At 61.4% G+C, this 18,662-nt stretch overlaps 1 protein-coding gene, 1 long non-coding RNA gene and 1 other non-coding gene across 11 annotated transcripts in view, besides 3 other annotated features; 1 reads left to right on the forward strand and 2 right to left on the reverse strand.

The window, feature by feature from the left end:
* Positions 1 to 260: 260 nt before the first annotated feature.
* The window catches only part of REXO1 (RNA exonuclease 1 homolog), a 33,236-nt gene continuing 14,834 nt past the window's right edge, over positions 261 to 18,662 (reverse strand). The window contains exons 2-16 of one of the 9 annotated variants that reach the window (NM_020695.4): positions 11,891 to 13,644; positions 10,852 to 10,956; positions 8,585 to 8,798; positions 6,532 to 6,695; positions 5,277 to 5,408; positions 4,947 to 5,070; positions 4,031 to 4,144; positions 3,719 to 3,856; positions 3,495 to 3,608; positions 2,720 to 2,793; positions 2,232 to 2,342; positions 1,711 to 1,826; positions 1,444 to 1,582; positions 1,238 to 1,358; positions 261 to 1,167 (exon numbers count right to left, since the gene is read on the reverse strand). In NM_020695.4, the coding sequence (NP_065746.3) occupies positions 1,079 to 1,167; positions 1,238 to 1,358; positions 1,444 to 1,582; positions 1,711 to 1,826; positions 2,232 to 2,342; positions 2,720 to 2,793; positions 3,495 to 3,608; positions 3,719 to 3,856; positions 4,031 to 4,144; positions 4,947 to 5,070; positions 5,277 to 5,408; positions 6,532 to 6,695; positions 8,585 to 8,798; positions 10,852 to 10,956; positions 11,891 to 13,644 (3,509 nt within the window). In that variant the 3' untranslated portion in view covers positions 261 to 1,078. The other 8 variants (XM_017027029.2, XM_011528146.3, XM_017027028.2 and 5 more) reach the window with 8 other exon arrangements.
* Positions 1,172 to 1,251, reverse strand: MIR1909 (microRNA 1909). The gene has a single exon (NR_031730.1). It is a non-coding gene; the product is annotated as a microRNA 1909 (primary transcript).
* Positions 7,102 to 9,558, forward strand: LOC100288123 (uncharacterized). The gene is made up of 4 exons (NR_152847.1): positions 7,102 to 7,705; positions 8,028 to 8,270; positions 8,636 to 8,729; positions 9,122 to 9,558. It is a non-coding gene; the product is annotated as an uncharacterized LOC100288123 (long non-coding RNA).
* Positions 12,221 to 12,356: a silencer, noted in NCBI's record as "fragment chr19:1827207-1827342 (GRCh37/hg19 assembly coordinates)". NCBI's record gives its function as "represses an EF-1alpha promoter that drives an FKBP-Casp9 reporter gene in an ReSE screen in phorbol 12-myristate 13-acetate-treated (for megakaryocytic differentiation) K562 erythroleukemia cells {active_cell/tissue: K562(+PMA)}" and the evidence as "EXISTENCE:reporter gene assay evidence [ECO:0000049][PMID:32094911]".
* Positions 13,482 to 13,982: an enhancer, noted in NCBI's record as "H3K4me1 hESC enhancer chr19:1828468-1828968 (GRCh37/hg19 assembly coordinates)". NCBI's record gives its function as "activates a minimal SCP1, AML or CMV promoter by ChIP-STARR-seq in primed H9 embryonic stem cells {active_cell/tissue: H9 hESC(primed)}" and the evidence as "EXISTENCE:reporter gene assay evidence [ECO:0000049][PMID:30033119]".
* Positions 16,120 to 16,320: a silencer, noted in NCBI's record as "peak3226 fragment used in MPRA reporter construct". NCBI's record gives its function as "represses an SCP1 promoter by STARR-seq MPRAs in K562 erythroleukemia cells {active_cell/tissue: K562}" and the evidence as "EXISTENCE:reporter gene assay evidence [ECO:0000049][PMID:32103011]".

An 18,662-nucleotide genomic window follows, 5' to 3' on the forward strand; every position in this document is an offset into this window, starting at 1 on the left:
GACACCACCCACTGTCCGAGAGGCACTAGAAGCTGCAGGATGGTGGCCCATGATCTGGGGCTGGAACTGGGACCCCACAGCAGGTGTGGCCCAGCCCTGGGGGAGCCAGCCCTGGGCCAGCTTTTGTGAGGGAAAGTTTCACTGCTCTGTTTTCTCTGCGTTGATGGGAAGAGAATCAGTCCCGGCTGCAGGGACAGTGGCCTCCCCGGGGCACATGCAGAGGCCTCACCAGGCACCAAGACCAAGACCACCACAAAATCTAAAATCCATACAAACATTTATTCTGTCCCTGCCTGGAGGTGAGGGGGAAGGGGGTCCGGAGAGCCCCGCAGAGGAGGACGGGGCTCTAGCGGGAAGACAGTGTCCGGAGGCCGGTGGGCTCCCTCTAGACGGCAGACCCTGGGGCTAACGAGGGGCCAGCTGGGTTCTCAGAGGTCACGGAGTGCAGGGGTGGGGCGGCGAGTGGTGGAAGCCGGCGCCCCCGAAGACCGGCCAGCCCCTGGAGCACAGAGGCGGGTCCAGCCCACACTGCGCTGAGTGTGGCCCTGGCCCCCACTGGGGTCTGTCCCACCCCCACCCCGCAGGAGGGAAGGCAGCAGGCCCGCTCTTCCCGGTGGGAAAGATGCTGTGCAAGTCATCAGGTTTAAATTAAAAATAATAAAAATAACAATACAAAATAAAAAAAGACTGTCTCAAACAAACCTGGGACAAGCCCGCCCCGCGACCCACGTGAGGAGCAGAGGTGCCGGCCACCACCCGGGAGGGAGGGCCTGGCAGGAGGGGCAGGAGGGGCTGCGGGCCGGGTGGGGGCGGGCTCTGTCCTGGTCTCCATCAGCAGCAGTTTCTAGAGACGCCAGAGGGCTGGGGGGCAGAGGGTGGGGACCGGCGGAGGGGTGCGGCAGGACGTGAGCGGGGGTGGGCTGGGCTGGGCGTTCTCTGGCCGCCAGCTCATCCCGCTGCTCTGGGCTGCCTCGGCCAGGTGGACGGGTTACCGGAGATTTATTGCACTGTTTTGGAAGAGGCATGGGGCTAAGGACCAGCGGGACGGCAGGAGAGGCGGGTGGGAGGCGGGCAGGCGTCATCGCTTGGTCTTGGCGTCTTCTCGAACCTTCCAGATCACCAGGTGCATGCAGGCGCCGGCGTCCTCGCTGGAGCTGTGCCCATCCACTGCGGGGCAGATGCGGTGAGCACCCGGCCCCTGCGCAGGGACGGCCCCAGGGCAGGCACCGGCACTCACCATTGTCCTGGATGATCTGTCTGAGGTAGTCGGCCATGAGGTTCCGCAGGGACCGCTTGTAGGGGAGGCCCAGGCGGTGGGGGAAGAGCACAGACGTGTCCACCACGGTGCTGTGGATGACCTGTGGGCAGCGGCAGAGATCAGCGCACGTGGGGCCTGCGCAGGTCCTGCTGGAGAACCGCGCGGGACCCGGGCCGGCAGGGCACCTTCAGGGCCAGGAGGTCGCTCTCCAGGCTGTGTCCGATGAGGATGGTGTCAGCGCTGAACATGCTCAGCAGAACGGCCTGGACGTCACGCAGCGTGACACTTGTGTCGGCAAGGTCAGCCTCCGTCACCCCCGAAAACCTGGGGGAACGGGCAGGAGGGGCACCAGGGCTCAGCCTGGAAGCACTGGCTGGTGGGGCGGGGGAGGGTGGGTCCCTGGGGAGAGGCGGCTGGGAGGGCTCCCAGCTCGTGGAGGGCACTGGCCACACCTGGTGTTGTAGTCCACGATCTCGTTGTCAGGCTTCACGAAGGTGTCATAAACCACGTGCACGTCCGTGTCGACCACCGTGACGCGCGTCAGCTCCAGGCCATATGTGGTGTAGGACTGCGGGCAAGGGATGCACCTCAGATGTGTCCCAGGCACCGGCCTCCCTCCCTCCCCTTCCCTGCCCCTTTGAGTCTCCAGAGCCCCTCCAGGCAGAGGCAGTGACCAGAGACTCTGTGGGACTTCTAGGAGAGGCCGAGTGGGGTGTGACCTCAGTAACCCCCTTTCGCAAAGCCCTCCTGCCTCCCATTCAGAGGCAGAGCCGGGGCCCAGTGCCCGGTGTGCTTGGCTCTGCTGGGAAGTATGGGGTGTTGGTCCAGGGCAGGAGCCACAGGCACCGGTGCTGCGAGAGAAACCCTGAGCGCTGGCCGGTGAGCCAGGCCCAGATGGGGCCAGATGGGGCGGCCGCACCAGGCCAGGTCCTCCCCAATCCTGAACCCGACGCTGGGCAGAGAACAGCCTCACCATCTCGCAGTCCAGGGCGTAGATCCCCGGGTGGGTGTCTCCTGAGAGCTCTTTCTCAAAGGTCTTCACGAAGCCCTCAAGGCGCTCCTTCCGGCCATCCTGCACGTGTTGCTGGGGGTGGAGAAGGCAGGTGAGGGCAGCTTCGGGGTGCAGTGGGGGCGGGGGTGGCAGCAGCAGCACATCTCTGAGCCCTTCGGGACCATCCTATCCATCCATCACGCCCATTCACTGGTTGGGACCCTGGTGAGCAGGTGGGGAAGGGGGCTTGCCAAGAAGACACAGGGAGGACGGCTTCCCAGGATGGGAAGTGGCCAGGGACAGGGCCTGGGGCCTACGGGTGCTACGTTCTCTGGGTAACACAAGAAAGGCTGCCCGGGGGCCCAGACCCTGAGCCCAGGACTGTGCTGTGTCCCGAGACCCCACACCAACGATGGGGAGGCAGAAGTCTGTTGAGAACAGGCAGAGGGGACTGGGACGCCAGGGCTCACCTTTGCGACTTGGCAGCCGACAGAGCCGGCGGCAGCCGAGCAGCACATGTACTGGGTCTCCCAGCCTCCGGCCACTGCAGGGGACACAGACACACAGTCAGGGCCCGGCCAGGCCCACTCCACAGCCCCCGGGGCACTGACCACCTGCATCTACCGAGCCCTACTAGGGAGTGAGGACTGAGGACAGGAGGCCTCAGCCTCTTGGTGGAGCTGGAAGCAGACCAGGCCCCGGCAGTCGTGTGGCAGCCAGGACGCCCAGGCCTGGATCCAGGGAGACCAGTGCCCTCTGCAGAGGCCTCTTGGCAGCGCTGCCCCGGGCAGCACCCTCCAGGTATCCCTGAGGCGATGGCTTTAGGGGCCGCCACAGGGCTGTGCAAGGCTGGCCATGTGCCCTGAGCGTGGCTGCGTGGTTGCCTGGGGGATTGAATAGAACCACCAGGCCAAGGGTGGGACAAGCCCCTCCGCTCCTGGGGCCAGCAACCTCCACATTTCCATGGACCAAGGGCACAGGAAGGCAGGGACACAGGGCCTTTCAGGTGGTGGCATTTGAACCTTGTCATGGGAAAGCTCTTGTCTTACTTTTGCATAAAGAACAGGTGGAGAGAAAATGAGGCCAAGGGCTAGCCCCGGCTCTGCCAAAGACGGTGCAGCCCAGGGACCCTGAGTGGGATGGAGGGCCTGGGTAAAGCCTTACCCCAGTTCTGGGGGCCTCAAGGGAGGGCCCAGGTTCCGGGGGCCATGGGTGGGAAGGGGAAGGACCCGGGTAAGGCCTTACCCCGGTTCCGGCGCAGCCGTCCCCAGTGGTAATAACACTCCTCGTCCCGGATGCAGCGGCCTGAAGAGGACACGAGGTACTCGGTGCCACAGCGGCAGCAGGTCCTGCAGGAAGCTGTGGGTGGGGACCCAGGTGGAAGCTGAGGCTCACGCTGGGGCCCGCATGCCCGGCCTTGCCCACATCCCGCACCTGCCCACCTAGGCCGTCGCAGGCCAGCGACTCACAGTCCTTGGGCCTCTTCTCCTCAGCTGTGAAGATGATTGCGCCCCCGGGCCGCTCTGGGTGCGGGAAGGGGTAGCCGTTCTCCTTGAGCTGGTCCTGGGTGAGCAGGTACTCCCTGAGGCGGCTGTACAGGGCAGCCCCTGTGGACAGGCACAGTGGTCAGCCCCTGCCTGGGATGGCCCACGGGGCGGTAGACACCACCGGGAAAGGCGGCTGGGCCGGCAGGGGCCCACGAAGCACCGTGTGGCACAGCAGGGGCTGGGCCGGCAGAGGCCCACGAAGCACCGTGTGGCAGAGCAGGGGCAGGGCCTTACCTTTCAGGTCCTCCACCCGGGGGCTGCTTGGACGGCTGAGCGAGAAGCTGGTCTTGGCGGCCAACCTGCCCCCCAACACCACCTCGTGGGACACAACCCTGCGGCCACTGGTTTCTGGAAGGAAGGGAGGGAGGGGAGGAGGGTGTGAAGTAGCTGGCTCAGACCCCTGCCCCGCCTGCTCTCCCACCCACCCTGCCCTCCTCAGACCTCTGCCTCAACTCCCCCTTTCTGGGACAGCACCCCACTGACCCCGGGTTCCAGCCTGACCCGAACAGGAGAGGCAGACATGCGGTGAGCCAGGGACGCAGGGCAGCCGCCAGCTCTGCAGGCCCCAGAGCTGCACGGAGGCCCCACACCCAAAGTCTTCGTCCCCTCCCCTCAAGCGAAGGGGGAAGGGCGGGGAGAACAGCACGGGGGATCTAATGGCTTTCGAGGGCTTTGAGCCTTCATGGGCCACCCAGCCTGCGACGCCAACCCAGGGCCCCTCCGAGTGCTAATGCAGGCGGGGACGGGGGCAGGGGCCGGTGATAGCTTAATGCAGCCTGGAGAGGCTGCAATGAAACGCCCAGGTCTCCGCTTTCTTCCTCCCCAGAGCTTAATGCATGGAGCTCGCCCAGCCCTGGGCCTCCTGCTTTGAAGAAGCTGCCGCAGCTCCATTAGCAGGCGGCCCCTCGGCTCGGCTTGGAGACCCCACTCAGCGGAGGAAGGCGGCTGACAGCGAGGACACCAGGGCCAGGTCCGTCCTACACAGAAGCCTGGGAACCAGGCAGCAGGCAGCCCCCCCACAGCACCGCGCTTTCCTTTTGTCTGAGACTGTGGCTGAGCTCAGGGCTGTGAAGGTCCCAGCGAGGGTCCCAGCCCAGCTGCCACCCCAAGAGCAACCCTGAGCCTCCCCCGCCCACCCGCCAGGACTCACTGCTGAGGCCGGGCACAGCGCTGGGGGCCAGGCCCCTGAGCTTCTTGAGGGTGTTCACGGCCACATTCAGGTAGATGTTCTTGCTGGGGCTGCGGTCATAGGCCACCTTCTCCTCGTTCAGTGCCTGGGGGACAGGCGGTGCCCAGCTGAGGCCATGCCTGCCTGGTGCCGGGGAGCCCCAGCGGTGGGGTCGCCATGGGGTCGGGGACTTGCATCTCTCCCAGGCAGCTCCGGGTCACAGCTGCGGCTGAGAGGCCGGGGGATGTCTGGGGACCACCCTGGACCCCTAGTCCCCACCCGACCGGCCAGATAGGAACTCCAGGACCTCACCTTCTCTATGGCCTCCTGGTTGGAGGTACAGAACTTGAGACACTCCTCGATGAACAGGTTGAGATAGCGCTGGCGGATGACGGTGGGGACTTTGCCCCCAAACTCTTTGGGGATAATGGGTTTCTTTAAACTCTAGAGGGAAGGCAAAAGCTGCCATGGGTGAGGGCCTCCACAAGGCCTCCAGCGGGGAACGCAGACGCGATGAGGCCGTGCCCATGGCTGGAGGCAAGAGTGAGGTGCGCTGGGACAGATCAGCCTGGCTGCAGTAGGGACAGACACGCCAAGGCAAGACAGGAGCAGCAGGGGAAACTGAGGGCAGCGGAACTAAGGTCATGGGAAACTGAGGCCATGGGGGCACAAGGGAACTTGCTGTACTTTCTGCTCAATTTTCCTAGAAACCTAAAGTTGCTCAAAAAACATAAAGTCTATTAATTAAAAACAAAACAAGGCCAAGCGTGGTGGCTCACGCCTATAATCCCAGCACTTTGGGAGGCTGAGGCAGGAGGATCACTTGAGGACAAGAGTTCAAGATCAGCCTGGACAACGTGGCAAAACCCTGTCTCTACAAAATAAAAAACAAAATTATTAGCTGGGGTGTGATGACACCGGCTTGTGGTCCCAGCTACTCAGGAGGCTGAGGTGGAAGGATCACTTGAGCCCAGGAGGTCGAGGTTGCAGTGAGCCATGATTGCGCCCCTGCACTCTAGCCTGGGCAACAGAGACCCTGTCTCTAAACAAAAAAAAAAAACACCAACCAACCAAAAAAACAAAACAAGACAAAACAAAAAAACACCGCCAGGGCGGTCGGGCATGGTGGCTCACGCCTGTAATCCCAGCACTTTGGGAGGCCGAGGCGGGTGGATCACGAGGTCAGAAGATCGAGACCATCCTGGCTAACATGGTGAAACCCCGTTTCTACTAAAAATACAAAAACAGCCAGGCGTGGTGGCGGGCGCCTGTAGTCCCAGCTACTCAGGAGGCTGAGGCCAGAGAATGGCGTGAACCCAGGAAGCAGAGCTTGCAGTGAGCCAAGATCGTGCCACTGCACTCCAGCCTGGGCGACAGAGCGAGACTCCATCTCAAAAAAAAAAAAAAAACACCAAGGCATGGGGAGGGAAGGTGAAGGCTGTACTGCGGTGTGGAGCACGAAGGCCCGCAGGGCAGGGGCGAGGCTGGCCCTCCGCAGGTCCCATGTGGCCGGGCCTCAGGGCGTGGTCTTGGGGGTGGTGGTCCTGGCCGAGATGGGAGGGGCTACCTGTAAGGATGGACTGTGGGCGATTCGCTTAGGGATGATGGTGGTGGTAGTCTTGGACGCCATCCCCGACAATGTGCGTGTTTTCAGCTGCTGGCCACCTGGCTCAGGGCCGTTGGAGGACTGGCTGCCGCTGGCCGCAAGGGTCCTCTTGGCACCTGTGGGGGCTGGCGGGGCACAGGGGGTGTGGGCACAGGGCGAGTGGCTGCCCATCACCACGTGGCGGAGCACCAGGCAGCCGCGGCCGCTCAGCGCCAGCAGCACGTGCATCTCCGCGTGCAGGGGGCCGGGCCAGGGTGAGGGGCTGGGGCTGCGCAATGGCATCAGGCTCTAGCTGCCTTCAGGCAAGTCCATCGAGGCAGAGGACACAGGTCAGGCTGCGGAGGCCGCTGAGGACACGTCACCGGTGGGGTGGTCCAGGCCTCTGCCACGTGTTCTGACCCCAAGCCCAAGGCGTCGATGTCTGAGGGAAAGGCCCTGGCTCCCGGACAGAGGACCGAAGGGTCTCGGGTGCCCCCACCTGCTCATTGGCTTTGCCCTGCCCTGCGGCCTCTGTGTTCTGCCTTGCCCTTTGATGAAGTCACAAACCAGAGGGAGGAGGCCAGGCCTGCAGGGGCTGCTTCGGAGGGCTGGCCACGCGGGCAGCTGCAACCTGGGCATGTACGTCTGTGTGGCAGGGGGGCTTCTGGACTGGGGGCTCGGCACCGACCCAGGAAGGGGAGCTGTGAGCAGGGACATCTGGCCCTAGTCTCAGAGCAACATCCCTCGAAATGCCATCTGGCCCTGGAAGGTGCAAGGGAGGCAGGATGAGTCTGCTCATGCTACCGCGGGCCGCCCAGCAAGGAAGCAGGCTGCCCGCCAGGCTGGCACGCGCCTCTTGCAGTGGAGGGTTTGCTCTTCAGGAACGGACAGAGAACCTCCAGACTCCCTCGGCTGCACGCTGGGGGCGAGCCCAGGCAGCCACAGGAGTCCTCCAAGCCAGATGAGCCCGCCCTGCGGCACTGCCAGCACTTGGGACGCCAGACTCCCTTCAGGCGGCGGGCCCCAAGGGCACTGCGACAGCTCAGCACCCACCACAGATCAGCAACAGGACAACCCGAGCGCGGAGACACAGACGGGAAGCGTGTGGGGTCCTGGGATAGGCCCAACTCAATGATTTCCCCTCCCTGGGGCTAAGGTCTCAGCCGTGAGGGGGCTCTGGGGAGGGGAGGTCAGAGTAGCCTGGAGAGCTCTCCCTAAGGAGGGCCGTGGGATCCATGGGATCTGCAGGGGAATCGCCGGGGCTGGCCCTAAGGCTCTCCAGCCAGCGCCAGGGAGGCAGGGGCTCCAAACCAGCAGGCTGCTCAGGGTGGTCCTCGGACAGCAGCCATGCCCTCCCAGGGAGCTTGCCAGACACACAGACCTTTCCCAGCCTCCAGACCAGAACCTGCATTTTTTAGGAGCTTTCTGGGGGACCCTCATCTGTGACCTGCCTCCAGGGATACTTTCTCGCTCTACAGACACCACTGATGTGAAGACGCAGGAGACAGGACAACCCCCCGTGAAGGGTCCTGTCCACCCACCACTGAGGCCTGGCCCGACTTTCTACAAGACCCTGCTGGGGGGGAAGTGCCCCTCGGAGTAAAGGAAATACAGCCCCACTCCTGGGAAGACAGCACTCATTTCCATCAGAGGCCACGCCCCCCACTCACACGCCAGGAGAAAGCCACACCTGCAGAAGCCTGCTCCCCACCCAATGCCAGGTACCCCGACATGGCTCCCCATTCCCTGGAACCACAGGCTCAGGCCCTGGTTCAGCCCAGTCCCCAGCAGGCTGTTGGACTCCTAGTAACCCCGGAGCTGGGTCAGGGAAGGAAGGTGCTGGGCCAGGCCTCCTGCACCCCTCAACAGTCCCCATTTCACAGACAGGCAGGCTGAGGGCCCCAGGGAGGGGGCCCAAAGTCATCCCATGAGCAAGCACCATGTGGTTCAGGTGAGCTCAGAGACCTCAGGGTGCCACCTCTCCTGCCCACATGCCCACGGCCCCCCGGCACAGGCCCCCTGGGCCAGGACTCACCTGCAGCCAGGCGGGGGTTGGGGATGTGGGCGATCCTCCTCTTCTCGCCAGGGGCGGAAATGTGGACGGAGGGCGACTTCTCTGCCAGCCTGGCGGGGGCCTGCAGCAAGCTCGCCGATGCCCTCTGCGCCTGCTGGGCCCGCAGGTAGCACACCTCCTGCGCCGTCGGGGGCCGGGCCGGGGGCACCGCGGGACCCCTCCTCGGGGGCTCCACCTGCGTCACCACAAATGCTAAGGCCTGGCAGCACAGCGGGGGCACCTGGAGCAGGCGACCCCGGGCAGGCTTGGGAGAGGGTGGCTGGAGCTCGGGGGCCGGAGGCACCACCTCCCTGGCTGCCTTCTGAGCTGCTGGGCACACTGGGGGGAAGCAGCAGGGGGCAGTGGTCCTCAATGCCATGTGGCTCCAGGCTCCCCCACTCCCAGTGTCTCCCGGTGCCCAGGCTATGTCCTCAGCCCTGATAAGGCACGGGTGGGCGGGACTACCCCGATTACACTGGCACTCCAATCCAATCCCACTACGCCTAATCTTCCTCAAAGCCCCTCCTCTGGGGAGGCTCTGGGACTGGAGCAACTGGGACTCTCCTGGCTGCTGACCCCGGAGCCAGGCTCTCTGCTTGTCCTGCACTACCTCGCCACGTCTGCACAGGGGCCTGACAAGCGCTACTGTCTCCGGGCTACAGAGGACACTGGAGCTCAGAGCTGGACAACCGGCCCAGGCCCAGGCCGCACACGGCGCAGCAGGCCGTCTGCCGCACTCTGGGGGAGGTCACCCTGGGGCTGCTGACCTGCTCTGTCCCTCGCCCCAGCACCGTGGCAATCTAACAGGAAGGGGCAGGGCCAGCTCCCTCTGGAACTCGGGCAGCGTCAAAGATAAGGTGTCTTCAAAAAGCTCATGGAAAACGTGCGTTGTGACGAAACTTGCATGGCTTTCAAGTTTTTTTGCCCCAAAATAAACTGATACTAACTTGTCATAACATGTCTGAACCAGACGGAGTTTGAGGCACTAAAAAAAAGTAAGACATCAGTTAGAACAGAGCCCCAGTCAGAGCAACAGGAGTTCTGCTAAAATTGAAGCAAATGTTAAGCATCAAATTTATGGTAAAACTTGGGTGGAAGAACGAATGGGGAAATCACTGATGCTTTACAAAAAGCGTCACAGATTTACAGGAACAATGTCCCAAAGAAATCAGAAGTTTATGAATGGATAACTCATTTTATGTATTTATCTTTTTGAGACAGAGTCTTGCCTTGTCGCCCAGGCTGGAGCGCAATGGCACGATCTTGGCTCATTGAATCCTCCACCTCCCGGGTTCAAGCAATTCTCCTGCCTCAGCCTCCCGAGTAGCTGGGATTACAGGTGCGTGCCACCGCGCCCAGCTAATATTTTGTATCTTTAGTAGAGACGGGGTTTCACCATGTTGGCCAGGCTGGTCTCGAACTCCTGACCTCGTGATCTGCCCACCTCTGGGCGCAGTGCCTCATGCTTGTAATCCCAGCATTTTGGGAGGCCGAGGTAGGCAGATCACGAGACCAGTCTGGCCAACATGGTGAAACCCCGTCTCTACTAAAGATACAAAAATTAGCCTGGTGTGGTGGTGGGCACCTGTAATCCCAGGTACTCGGGAGGCTGAAGCAGGAAAATCACTTAAGCCCGGGAGGCGGAAGTTGCAGTGAGCAGAGATCGTGCCACTGCACTCCAGCCTGGGTAACAGAGCGAGACTCCGTCTCAAAAAAAAAAAAAAAAAAAAAAACAACCAAAAAACAAACAAACAGAAAACAGAGGGATGAAGCTGGGAGCAGTGGCTCACGCCTGTAATCCCAACGCTGGGAAGCCGAGGCAGGAGGATCACTTGAGGTCAGGAGTTGGAAGACCAGCCTGGGTGACAAAGCAAGACCCCCTTTTTTTATAATTTTTTTTTTTTGAGACAGAGTCTTGCTCTATCACCCAGGCTGGAGTGCAGTGGTGCAATCTTGGCTCACTGTAACCTCTGCCTCCTGAGTTCAAGCGATTCTCCTGCCTCAGCCTCTCTAGTAGCTGGTATTACAGGCACCCATCACCATGCCCAGCTAATTTTTGTATTTTTAGTACAGATGGGGTTTTGCCATGCTGGCCAGGCTGGTCTCGAACTCCTGGCCTCAGGTGATCCACCCGCCTTGGCCTCCCAAAGTGCTGGGATTACAGGCGTGAGCCACCAAACCAGGCCAACCTCGTCTTTAAAAAAAAAAAAAAAAAAGGCTCCTGCTGGCCTGGCCTCTGCGGACCTTACCTCCTGGCCTTGCTTGGAAAGGTGGGAGATCCTCCTCTTCTGCCCGGGGAACAGAGTGGTCAGACCCGAAAGCCCCTTCTCCTCACTCTTCTCTTCCTTGGGGGGCTAAGACACATGTCCGTCCGTCAGCACAGGTCTGCCCTCGCTGCCAACACCAACACACCCCAACCTCAAACTGCCCCCGGCAAGTGGGGAATGGAACAGTCCAGCCCCCAGGCACAGCAGCTGAGGGCTCAGGGCCAACAGTCCCTGGGCTTTGTGTGGGTGCAGTCGGAGGGGTGGGCAGGTGTCACACGTTCTGCAGATGCCCAAGGCTACCTCTCCTGGGCACCCAGGGCCCCAGCTTGGAGACCCCAGGGCTGCAGAATGAAAGCACACTGGGAAAGCGAGGCCACCTTGGGCCGAACCAGCTGCTGCGGGCTGAGCACTTGGGCTCAGTCTGTGTGGAGTGAGCTCCCCCTGGTGGCCAATTTGGGGACACGGGGCCAGGAGACCCAGGGGTCCAGGGCTGGCCCAGGAGAGCAAGAGCTCGCCACGCTGGGAGTAGGGAGGAGGGAGGGGAGGAGAAAGGAGCCGGAGGGGATGAGGAGGAGGCAAGGAGAGGAGACAGAGGAGCTGGAAGAGAAGAGACAGAGATGGGGGAAGGGAGGAGGGGAGAAGAGAGGGGGAAGGGAGGAAAGGGGAGGCGAGGGGAGAGGGGCTAGAAGGGTGTGCCGGAGGTGGATTCCCCTGAGGTGGGTGGGTGGGCCAATATCCCCCTGCCAGTCAGTGGGAACAGACCGTGTGCACGTGGCCACAGAAGCCTGGCTGGTGGCCACGGGCCAGTGACCTCTGGGTGGGTGAGGGGCAACAGGAGCAACAGGGCTGCCCGGGTGCTCCTGAGCTCCTGAGATTTCAACGGGCTCAGGGACCAGCACTGAGGAGCTGCCTCCACCCCGTGCCTCCGAGCCAACTGGAAACCACTCCAGATAGAAGGTCTCTCACCAGGCCCTCGGCTCTGCCTCTGCCCGAGCCCAGCCCCAGCACCCGCGCGCCTCACCTGCCGGGCCAGCCGGCCTCTGTCCTCCGTCTTGACGCTGGTGGACTCGTTGAAGATCCGCAGGCACTCCTCCATGGGGTCGGAGTCAAAGTCCACCTCCTTCTCCAGGGCCGAGTAGTCCACATCCGCCCCCGCGCTGGAGGTGGAGGAGGAGGAGGAGGAGGAGGAGGATGGGGCGGGGGAGGGGGGCGGGGAGGCCTTGAGCCGCTTGGGCGGCCCCTGCGCCTCCGGGAAGCCCAGGCTGGAGTCTGAGTCGGAGTCTGAGTCCGAGCTGAGGCTGGGGAGGGCAGAGGGCCACACGCTCGGCACCCCTGGCCCTGCGGCCTCGTCCTCACTCTCGTCCCCAAAGAGGTCGGCGTGGCTCAGGGCCCGCTTCTTCAGCTTGGGGGCGTCCTGGGAGGCGCCCTCGTCTAGTGAGCGGGCTTTCCGCTCCACTAGCTTCCCCGACGGGGCCTTGGTGCTCTTCCTGTCGGGCAGCTGGAGGGGGCGGGGTGGGCCTCTGCCGGCCGCCGGTCGGGAGTCCCCGCTTGTGGGGCTCGGCCGCCGCGCTGGCCGGTCAGGCCTCCCTTTCCCTGAGGTGGCCACAGGAGTGGCCGAAGATGGCTTCTTCTTGGTCCCTTCCGGCCGCTCTGCCTTGCGCCGGGGGCTGCTGGCCTGCGGGCCCTTCTTGTCCGCACGGGGCTTCTCCACAGGCCGCCCTCGGCCCTTGTCCTTGGTCTTGTCCTTCCCCTGGGCCCCGTCTTTGCAGCTGGGGGCAGGTGGGGCCCCGGTTTTTTTCTTCTTGGGTTTTCCCTCCTTGGGGCAGCCCCCATCCTGTGAGGACTGGACCTGGGCTGGGGAGGCGGGCTTGGCTGGGGGCGGCTGGAGGTCCCCCACGTCGCACTGCACGGCCGTCTCCTTGGTCTCCCGCAGGCCGCCCCCCTCGGCCTCCAGGCCCTCTTTGGAGGGTGGCTGCCCGGTGGCCTTGATCTCAGGGTCGGCCCTGGCTTTGGGGGTGCTGGCCGTGGTGGGCTCGTTACCTGGGACCGTGGCGGCCTCATCTTCTGAGTCTGAGAACCTTGCATCGCAACTGCCAAAGGGGTCACAGAGCTTCTTGGGAGCAGGTGTGTAGGGCTCACTGCCGCGGGAGCCCCGGGGCCGCTTGGCGGCCCGCTCATCCCGGGAGCTGGCCCTGCTGAGGTGCCGGGCCGAGTAGTTGGAGAGAGGGTCATACTCCAGGTCTGTGGGTGGCCTGGAGTTGTCCACCACGTACTTGCCACTGGGAACGGGGCGGCTGTGCCGCCGGGGCTGGCTCACAGCCTTGGGGACGTATTCCAGGGCACCGCCACCCCCTCCACCTCTGCCCTGACCCCTGTCCAGGGACGCCAGCGAGTACTTGCTGCCCGGCTCGGCAGGGGCGGCCAGTGGGGTGGGCTGGTAGCCGGCATCAGGGCTTAATAGGCCGTGGCTGCCGGGGCTGTAGTCGAAGGCCAGTGGGAAGGCATCCTCGTCCGGGCCCACAGTGGGGCTGGCGTTGGGGCCGCGGGGCGCCAGGGCGGGGGCCTCGGCGGAGCGGTGCTCACGGGTCGTCTCCAGCAGCTCCCGGTAGCGCCGCTGCTCCAGCTCCACCTCACTGCGCACGGCCTCGATGGCCTGGTTGACCAGCTCCAACTCCAGCACATCCGGGCGCGGCTCCTCCCCCAGGCCCAGGGTGCCATTCTCCCTCTGCGCGGGGGGCTTGGGCAGCTCAGGGTTGTAGGGGTCGTAACCCAGCCCTGAAGGGAACAGAGAGCACAGCTGTGACCAGCCTGCCGGAGAGGAGCCCGCAGCATGGGGGCGGCCCCGGTCTCAAACTGCAGGGAAGGGAAGAGACCTGCCTCCGAAACCCACCACGCACTGGCGCCCGCCAAGGCTCTGGGGTGCCCAGCTGGGTACAGGCCATGGCGCCATCTCAGGCCCTGTGCCGGGCCCCGCCTTGCCCTGACCAATGGGCGCTGGATGGGCCTGGGCTGCGTGACACACAGCTCCCTGGGTACTGGAGGCTCCCTCACACGGCTCATGAAATGCGCACAATGACCATGGTGGGGTGGACACTCGACAGGCTGGAACTCCCCGGGGCAGGCGGGTGTGGAGCTCCCAGCATTCAGGGTGCCGGGCTGAGGCAGGACTGGGCTGGGCCGACAACCACAGCCTGACGGTGGACACAGGAGAGCCCTTCCTCAGCCAACACGGCCCCACCCAGCCAGCAGTGTGCCCGCGGTGTGGCGGAGGTGTGCCAGCAGTGTGCCAGCGGTGGTGTGGTGGCGGTGTGCCTGCGGTGATGTGGCTGAGCAGGGCCGGGGGATGGGGACATGCCCAGTTGATGGGCCACCCTGCAAAATCCACAGGAAGATTTTTTTTTTTTGAGACAGTCTCTCTGCTGCCCAAGCTGGAGTATAGTGGTGCGATCTTGGCTCACCGCAGCCTCTATCTCCCGAGTTCAAGCAAACCTCCTGCCTCAGCCCCCCAAGTAGCTGGGATTACAGGCGTGCGCCATCACACCCAGCTAATTTTTGTATTTTTAGTAGAGATGGGGTTTCACCATGTTGGCCAGTCTCGAACTCCTGACCTCAAGTGATCCACTGCACCTGGCCTACTTTAAATTAATTTTTTAATTTCAAAACTTTTTGTAGCTGGGCGCGGTGGCGCACGCCTGTAATCCCAACATTTTGGGAGGCCAAGGCGGGCGGATCACCTGAGGTCGGGAGTTCAAGACCAGCCAGACCGACATGGAGAAACCCCGTCTCTACTAAAAATACAAAATTAGCCGGGCGTGGTGGCGCATGCCTGTAATCCCAGCTACTCAGGAGGCTGAGGCAGGAGAATCGCTTGAACCTGGGAGGCAGAGGTTTCGGTGAGCCGAGATCACACCATTGCACTCCAGCCTGCGCGACAAGAGTGAAACCCCGTCTCAACAAAAAAAAATTTGTAGAGGTGGAGTCTCACCATATTGGCCAGGCTGGCTTTGAACTCGTAGACTCAAGCAATCCTCCCACCTCAGCCTCCAAGATAGCTGGGACTATAGCCCAAGCTGCTGTGCCTGGCTTAAAGCACACGGCTGAAATGTCTTCCCGGGGGGCAGCTGGGAACATGAGACTCGCATGTTATTTACGTGGTTCCAGAACATAGTGTAGCAGACCCTCACAACCTCAATGCCACCAACGTCAGCACAGAAGTCAGAACCACAGAAGCCTCCCGTGGGGACAGGCCGAAGGAGTCTAAAGAAAACATGAGCAAGTGGAGCCCAGTATTCCAGCGAAGCAATAAAAACCAAGTTCAAATATTTACTCCAGAAACTTGGAAGTTGACCATTAGAAATTCTACTGAGCACGGCCAGGCACAGTGGCTCACGCCGATCATCTCAGCACTTTGGGAGGCTGAGGCGGGAGGATACTGCTTGAGCTCAGGAGTTTAAGACCAGCCTGGATGACACAGATCCCATCTCTTAAAAAAATACTTAAAAATAAGCTGAGCATGGTGATGCACACCTGTGCTCCTAGCTATGTGGGAGGCTAAAGTGGGAGAATCACTTGAGCCCAGGGGCTTGAGGCTGCAGCGAGCCAGGATTGTGCCTCTGCACTCTGGCCTGGACAACAAAACAAGACCCCAGCTCTTAAAAAAATAAAATAAAGTTCCACTGAATGTAATTCCGTAACATCTCTAAAGGTCTCTAAAGGTCAACAGGTCTGATCCTCTGGAGTTGGCAGGAAATGGCGCCAAAGACGTCTGCGTCCTAATTCCTGGAACCTGTAGATGGTATATCCCCTTAGATGGCAAATGGGGCTCTAGATGGGGTGAAATCTCCCTTGCCCGTCACTGAGGGGGCCATGGACAGGCCGAGATCTTGCAGAGCAGTTTCGCAACCATCCCATGCAGCTTCAACACCACCACCTTCAGACTCGGAATCCTCAGAACCCGTGCCACAGACAGACCGCACAGGGCAGGTACAGATGCGTCTGGTGCAGCCTTCACTGCAAAAACACAACAATAAATAACGCAGGAGATGACCTAGAAGCCGAAACGCAGGTCACCTGTGGTTAAGGGGGAGGCGTGCGCCCTGGAGGGACCTCCAAGTCACACTGCTATGGGGAAGAAGAGGGGCAAGGAATGTTGCACACTCTCACCTTTGAAAAGCAGCTCCACAAACCCAGTGAGATCAGATTCCAACAAAGGCGCACGGGCCCACACCAAGCCCGCAGTCCCATGGGGTACAGCAAATGCAATCTGGCCTTCATTTATGCTGCACCCAACACCAACTGCCCAAGAGGGACGTGAATGCTGACACACATCCCCGACAGGCTGATAAGGAGCTGTGACACCATGTAGCAAAAGGCAACAGCCCCATGGGAACCTGCCCGCACCAAGACGCCACTTGGCTCTGACTTGATTCTGACTGAACGTGCAGCTTGTCTGAAGGTCGGGCCTCAGGTGTGTTTCTTCCACTCAGAAAACCTGCCTGCCCTTCGGCCCACCTGGAGATCGACCCCCACAGCGTGCTAAGACTTCCGTGCAGAGAAATGGCTGGACGCAGCCAAGGGGAGGCAGGCACAAGACCTCCCACTGTGGGCGACGCAGAGAACAGCAACAGAACTGGAGGCTTCCCCTATGGCCCCCACCCACACCCCCTCAAGCCCCAGCAGGCATAAGAAAGAAATGGCTGGTTTCGGCCGGTTGTGGTGGCTCACACCTGTAATCCCAGCACTTTGGGAGGCTGAGGCGGGCGGATCACCTGAGGTCAGGAGTTCGAGACCAGCCTGACCAACAAGGAAAAACCCCATCTCTACTAAAAATACAAAAAAATTACCCAGCCGTGGTGACCCATGCCTGTAATCCCAGCTACTCGGGAGGCTGAGGCAAGAGAATCGCTTGAACCTGGGAGGCGGAAGTTGCAGTGAGCCAAGATTGAGCCATTGCACTCTATCCTGGGCAACAAGAGCAAAACTCCATCTCAAAAAAAAAAAAAAAAAAAAAAGAAAGAAAAAGAAAAAGAAAAAAAGAAATGGCTGGTTTCCCAAGCTGCTCCCCCGAGACACACCCACCAGCAGAACAAAAGCCTCCCCAGGTAAGTCCCCATCCTAATCCCTGGGACCTGTGGCCAGGCCACCTCACTCAGCCAATAGACTGCAGGTGCGACTTGAACAAAGGACCCTGAGGGTGGGTGAACATCTTGCATTATCCGGGAACCCAGTGTCCTCACAGGGTCCTTTAAAGAGGGAGGCAGGAGGGTGAGAGTCAGAGAGACTGGAAAAGGCTGTGCTGTGGGTTTGAAGGGGAGGAAGGCGCCCTGAGCCGAGGGATGCAGGTGCCTCCAGATGCTGGGAAAGGCGGGCACTGACTCTCCCCGGAAGCCTTCGGGAGGCCCAGTCCTGCCCACAGCTTGACTTGAGCCCAGCGAGGCTGACTTTGGACTTCCCAGCCCAGCGCTGAGAGAGAGTGTGCTGCTTTAAGGCCCACGGGGACGAATGCAGCCTCACCGGGTGATGAAAGTGCAGTGGAAAACAGCTGCCCGCTGCCTGTACCTGCGAAGGCGGAAGGCCCCTCCTGTTCCCGGGAACCCTGCAGGGACAGCGGGAGGCCGGGACCCGGAGGCTGCAGAGGAGGTGGGAGGAGGCCTGGTCACGGGCAGCTGCCGCCTTTCCCTTGAAATCACAGCAGTGTTGTGCCCATCTTTAAAATTACATTTAGGGACCAGGCACGGTGGCTCACGCCTGTCATCCCAGCACGGTGGCTCACGCCTGTCATCCCAGGCACGGTGGCTCACGCCTGTCATCCCAGCACTTTGGGAGACCAAGGCGGGCAGATCACCAGCTCAGGAGTTCAAGACCATCCTGGCCAACATGGTGAAACCCCATCTCTACTAAAAATACAAAATTAGCCAGGCATGGGGGCGTGCACCTGTAATCCCAGCTACTGAGGAGGCTGAGGCAGGAGAATCGCTTGAACCCAGGAGGCAGAGGTTGCAGTGAGCCAAGATCACACCACTACACTCCAGCCTGGCGACAGAGCAAGACTCTGTCTCAAAAAAAAAAAAAAAAAAAAAAATTACACTTAGTGCCAGGCTCAGTGGCTCACGCCTGTAATCCCAGCACTTTGGAAGGCCAAGATGAGCAGACTGCTTGAGTTCAAGACCAGCCTAGGCAACACGGCGAGACCCCGTCTCTACAAAAAAATACAAAAAATGAGCTGGGTGTGATGGTTGCATGCCTGTGGTCCCAGCTACTTGGAAGGCTGAGGTGGGAGGATCTCTTGAGCCTAAGAGGTCAAGGCTTCAATGAGCTGTGATCACACCACCGCATTCCAGCCTGGGCAACAGAGCAAGATCCTGTCTCTAAAACAAATAAAATTAAGTAGCATTTAGACAAGAGGAAGGATCCGTGTGTCTGTTTTGGACCACTCGGAACTCCGCGGGACTGTGTGGAGGGCCACGAGGTACGGGCAGGCAGGGGAACATCACACAGAAGCCACAGGTTCTTCTTTGCCTGTGCCAGGCTACAGCCAAGGCATTTCCAGGAAACGTCACCCCATGTGCCCAGCAGGCGCAGAGGGGCCCATTCTGGCACCATCTCACAGCCAAGGACCCTGGGAGTCAGCGAGGGCACCCAACTAGGATCAGCAACTGTGGCTGCCAGTTCCTCTGTGCGGGGAGGGACAGCTGCCAGGCCAGGAGGATGCTCCCGGCAGGGAAACGGCCGGCTGGGGCTGGGTGTCAGCCCCCACCCAGGGGGAGGGCTGCGGAGGCCAGCAGCAGCTCAAG

This window comes from Homo sapiens, chromosome 19, assembly GCF_000001405.40.
Source record: "Homo sapiens chromosome 19, GRCh38.p14 Primary Assembly".
In the NCBI taxonomy this organism is placed as follows: Eukaryota; Metazoa; Chordata; class Mammalia; order Primates; family Hominidae; genus Homo; species Homo sapiens.